We start from the raw sequence: 6,000 nt of genomic DNA, 5'->3' as shown, positions 1-6,000 counted from the left end.
TAGAGTGAGATAGGGGAAAGTCATCAAATTGGTCATAAGAACAGAGTCAAAGCACAGATTTTAAAAAAATCAGAAAGAAGGAGAGAGAAGCTGAGTCACCAACATGTGATACTATGTTAGATATAAAGCCAACTCCTGTGCTTGAAGGAATTTCAAGAGGTTGTGCAAAAACTGTAATGAATCTTGACCTTCAACCTGAATGATTTTTCTTTTCTTTCTTTCTTTCTTTTTTTCTTTTTGTGGTAGGACTAATTACACTATATTTACCATATATCGTATATCATTACTATACTGTAATTACTTTTCTCAACAGGCCTAGTTGTTGAGCTTTTCTTGGGTTCTGTGAAGCCTCTACCCATGGCTGAAATATTTGTTTGTCATATTTCTACATATATCCCTGTACTATAACTTCCATTATTTGAGTTACCTGAAGTGCTTCATTGTTCCTTCAAACCGTAAGAGCACGGCTAACACAGATTCTTAGCTCTAGTAAGGAAAGAAATGTGGTCAAATCTTTTCTCAACTGGAAACTATTCCTCTTGTTTTTCAGATTCATGAAGAATCTCAAAGTAAAAATGCCTCATAAAATAAAGGATTTATAATTGTGTGAATTTTATTTATTCCAATTCAGCAGTGATGTTCCATTACCATTACTCATACTTTGGCAGTTTCATTTCTAATGATACTAAATGATCTCTAAATCTGGACTGGCTTGGATGACCTACCTATCTGTTTTAAGAAGGACATTTCAGTAGATGCATTATAACACATGTTTACACACATGCATGTGCCCACTCATTTATATTTTTGTCCAAAGACTAAACAGAAGCTTCTTTTCAGCAGTCTAACATGATTGGCTCAAGAGCAAAATAAACCTTAATTTGTGATTTATTATTCTATAATTGGTCAAGTAGTAGACACTATGGAACATCTCCTAGTCTCTCCCTCAAGACCTATTTATATGTATATATTCTAATACAGTTCCCCAGTAAGATTTCTTCATAAAATTCTCTATCTTTCTGTCACTTTACAGGGAGCTAAAGCTAATACAAAGAAAATTCAGGCCCTGCCATTTATAAGAATATAAACTAAAGGAATTTTCTTTCTTGAAATTAGGAAAGGGTGGTTTGGAAGAGCTTAAGAGTTTGAGGAAGCACCACCAAGAATTAGCTCATCTGGTTTATGGAAACTTATTATTTTCAATAGAATATTTGCAAGATGGAAGGGACATTGTTTTCAGAATATCCGAAATAGAGATTTAATTTGGACTTTCCCATATGAAGTTAGCTGGCGTTGCATGTAATAAAAAAGTGCCACATCTGGGGAGAATCTTCAGATTTAACTATTTAAAAGCCAGGACTGCATATAATTCTTACAGAAAACAGGATATGGATATTTTATGTATTTTTTTATTTTAAAAGCAGAAACATATCCCAGAGCAATGTCCATGATGTATTGCTAAGTGAGAAATACAAGTTGCATATATATGTGTAACATATTTTTTATATCTGGGAACAGTATCAGAATCCTCTAGGTACAAGTATATTTGTTTGCATATTTTTGTGGATAAGGAAGGACATACAACTGTTATTAGCATTAAATATAATAGGGTGGGACAGGTAGAGGGAGAGATTAGCATGATTGTGAATATAATGGGTTATAAAAACCATTATTCTTCTATACTATTCTAGTGTTTTCTTCTGGTTGAGACTAAAAGGTAGGCGGTTTGTAATATTGCAAGAGGCATTTAAGATTTAAAATAAAAAGGAATAGTGTCTTTACTTTAAAAACCGGACTACAGAGAATTCTTCTAAATTACAAAAAAATCGTTCTTTGTAATGTGATAGCAGCTAATGTTTATATTACTGAAAGAATGACTCCAAGTCTACAGTGGAATGTTCTATAAACAAAGGCAATTATTTCAAAGAACTGTGGTAAGAATAAATGAAATTGAATTATAATTGGTGACAGAATTTTTTGAAATTTATTTCTCAGAAATGCCTGTATTATGTCTGACTAGTAAGCCAGTTCTTTGAAGTTCTCTATTCAGAACTGTTTTAAAGAAGTAGTATAGAGAGGGTATGTCATGTTTAAATGCACTCAGAAGCTCCCCATAGTTTTCAAGAGAAAATTTAAGCTTATTAAAATGGAATGTAGGTCTCAGATGTAGATCCTTCTTGCTTCCCCCTTTAATTTCATCTCCCCCCACCTCTCTCCTGTCAGGCGTCTTCAGCCTTCATGAAGTATTTTATATTGTGGAAGGCTTCCAAAGTTATCTGCCTCTGTGTCTATGTACATTTTGCTTCCTCATAGTATGATGCCCTCTCAACTAACAAGTTCCACTTTTCCAGAAAACTTTTGTTCTTCCTTTAATGTTAAATTGCAGTGTCTTCTTTAAGTATCGTTTTTATGCCTCCAAGCATTAGCCTGGATTAGGTGCCTTCCCAGCACATCCCCAAAATATCTCAGGGTTTTTCTTTCTCATGGCATTCATCCCAGTGAATTCAATTTTTTCAGCTTTATTGAAATATAATTGATATACAATAAACAGCACATTTTAAAGTGTATAATTTAATGAGTTCTGACATATGTATACAGCCATGAAACCATCACCACAAATCAAGATAATGAACTTTTTTCATCACTCACAAAAATTTATTCATGTCCCTTTGTATTATTTCCTCCTATCCCTCCCCACACTCCCTGTGCAACCCTAGGCTATAATTGATCTGCTTTCTATCATGATAGATGATTTTGGATTGTACAGAATTTTATGTAAATGGGACCATATAGTATGTACTCTTTAATTTCTAGCTTTTTACACTCAGCATAATTATTTTAAGATCATTGATATTGGATGTCTCAATAGTTTATTTATTCTTTTATTTCTGAGTAGTATTCTATTGTGTGGTTATAACAAAAATTGTTATCTATTTGCATATTAGTAGACATTGCTCTTGTTTCCAGTTTTTGGCTATTACAAATAAAGCTGCTAAGCACATTTGTGCTCCAGGCTTTGTGTGCACATATGGCTTTTTTCCTCCTGTGTAAATACCTGGGAGTGTGCATTAGTGTGCTAAGACTGCAGTACAGTGGATGACTTTAAAACAATAGAAATTTATTTTTTTCAACAGTTTTGGAAGCTAGAAGTCCAAAATCAAGGTGTTGGCAGGGTCATGCTTCCTCCAAAGGCTTTAGGGAACAATCCTTCCTTGCCTTTTCTATGTTCTGGCATTTCTTGTCTTGTAGATAAATCACTCCAATCTCTGCCTCTGTCTTCACATAGATTTCACTCCTGTGTGTCTTTGTTTCTGTGTCCAAATTTCCCTCTCTTAAAGTAAACTTGAGGTTGCCCAGAAAAAAAGTGCTCAGAAAAACAAAAAGTGTTTATCTCTGGATGTATAGATCCAAATACAGATGTTCAGAGTAATCACTGCTTTTTCAAACTAATTATTGGAATACATATTTTTAAAGTGATAAATAAAATAACAGAGGTTGAGGACAGACCAGTATAGTTTTACTATTGTACTTTTTACAACTCTTATCATGTAAGGATGGATAGATAATGTCAAAAATGTTTGTAATTATAAATGAGCATACTTATGTTAAAAGGAAAATTTGAGCAAAAAACTTAGAAACTACACAATTTTAACAGCTTTAAGTTACTTTAAGATATTAACATGAAGATTTAATTCTAGATTACTTGAAACATTTTAATGTATTTTAAAATATTTTCTTCATTTTTTTTAAAATAATAACATCAAGAATGAAATACTGTTCAGAGATTAAGAGGCTAAGCACACTTACAATATTTAGTACAGTTACCTAAGCCATTTTTGAAAACCAAAGGCAACTTTGGGAAGAAATCAGTATTACTTTAAAGTGAGAACAGATACTCTTCAGAAAAACAAACATTAAGAGAATTTTGCTCTGTTGTTCGTTTCAGAGGTACTTATAGACTATTTGATATAAGGAATTTGAAACTAGATTAAGTGGAAATTTAAAAATTTCATTTAATATTTATAACCCCAAGCTTCACAGTAGATAAGTATAAGGTAAATATTATATCTAAGATAAACACTTTTTGTTCTCTGAACGCTTCATTGATACCTTTTATTTTTAAATATAGGGACCACGTTCAATATCCAAAATGCATTTTAATACCTAGTACCTGATTACACTATTGAAATGTTCAACAAATAACTTTCAGCTGATTGACTAAGTGTACTATTTACAATTGTTGTATTAGTCCATTTGCACACTGCTATAAAGAACTACCTGAGGCTGGGTAATTTATGAAGAAAGGAGATTTAGTTAACTCACAGCTCCATAGGCTTAACAGAAAGCACAGCTTGGAGGTCTCAGGAAATTTACCATCATGGTGGAAAGTGAAGGGGAAACAAGGACATTCTTCACATGGTGACAGGAGGGACAGAGAGCATGTGGGGGAAAGTGCCACACACTTTGAAACAACCAGATCTCCTGAGAGCTTTTTCATGAGACAGCATTAGGGGGATGGTGCTAAACCATTAGAAACCACCCCCATGATCCAATCACCTCCCACCGGGCCCCACCATCAGCACGTGGGGATTACAATTCAACATGAGATTTGGGTGGGGACACAGAGCCAAACCACATCAATTGTATTTGTCATATTAGGCTTCATGGAAAAGACTGTCTCAGATTACCTTCAATTACTGGGATTCATTGCAATGCAAATGTCGTTTAGTTTAATACACACCTTAGTTTCTAGTGTGTATTGGGTGAATTGTGTCCTCCCCCACATTCATTCCACTGGATCCCAGAATGTGACCTTATTTGGAAATAAGGTTTTTGCAGAGGTAATCAGGTTAAGATGAGGTCATACTGGTTTTGGGTGGGTTCTAGTCCAATAACTGATACCTCTATAAGAAGAAGGAAATTTGCACACTGAGATACCCAGAGCGACTACCACTGAAAGAAAGAGGCAGAGATTGGAGTGATGCCTCTACAAGTGAAGGAACACCAACAACTGCCAGCCACCATCAGAAGCTGGGAGACAGCAGTGGAATAGATTCTCCTTCGAAGAATCCAGAGGAAGTGTGGCCCTGCCAACACCTTGACTTCAGACTTCTTGCATCTAGAACTATGAGAATACTTTTCTGTTGTTCCAAGCCACTCAGTTTGTGGCACTGTGTTACAGCAGCCCTAAGAAATGAATACATGATGTTACAGTTTCAAGTTGTTAGCTTTATTTCTGAACTTCCTATTTTTCTTTTAAATTAACCATCCTGCCTCCCACAAATTTTGTGGATCAAGCTACCAGGAATGGGTTTTTGTTTCTTGGCCAGAAGAGCCGGGGGCAAGAGAATCCGATGTACAAACCCTGGAATAATACACTTGCAGCTGTTTTTTTTTATTATTATACTTTAAGTTTTAGGGTACATGTGCACAGCATGCAGGTTTGTTACATATGTATACATGTGTCATGTTGGTGTGCTGCACCCATTAACTCACCATTTAACATTAGGTATATCTCCTAATGCTATCCCTCCCCCCTCCCTCCACCCAACAACAGGCCCTGGTGTGTGATGATCCCCTTCCTGTGTCCATGTGTTCTCATTGTTCAATTCCTACCTATGAGTGAGAACATGCGGTGTTTGGTTTTTTGTCCTTGCGATAGTTTGCTGGTTTATGGAAGTATACATTTAAATCAAGAACACAGATACATTCTGTTAAAAACAGCTGCAATATTTAAATATTTGAATTCTTGATTTAAATGTATACCTCCTTAAACCAGCAACTTATTAATCCAGAAACACTAAGTATATTGTATATGTTATCAGTCAGAATTCATTCAGGAAACAAACAAAAACATCATTCGTCATTCATAGTCTTAAAAATAGAGGGCATTCAAAGCAGGAAATTCATCATATAGCTAATGGAAAATGCAGAGAAGCCAACCAGAGAGTGAGGGAACCTAGAGATTAAGAGCAACAGGAAGTTACTTTCATTCCTAGA

Source organism: Homo sapiens, chromosome 1 (assembly GCF_000001405.40).
Source record: "Homo sapiens chromosome 1, GRCh38.p14 Primary Assembly".
NCBI lineage: Eukaryota > Metazoa > Chordata > Mammalia > Primates > Hominidae > Homo > Homo sapiens.
This window is presented reverse-complemented; position numbering follows the sequence as displayed.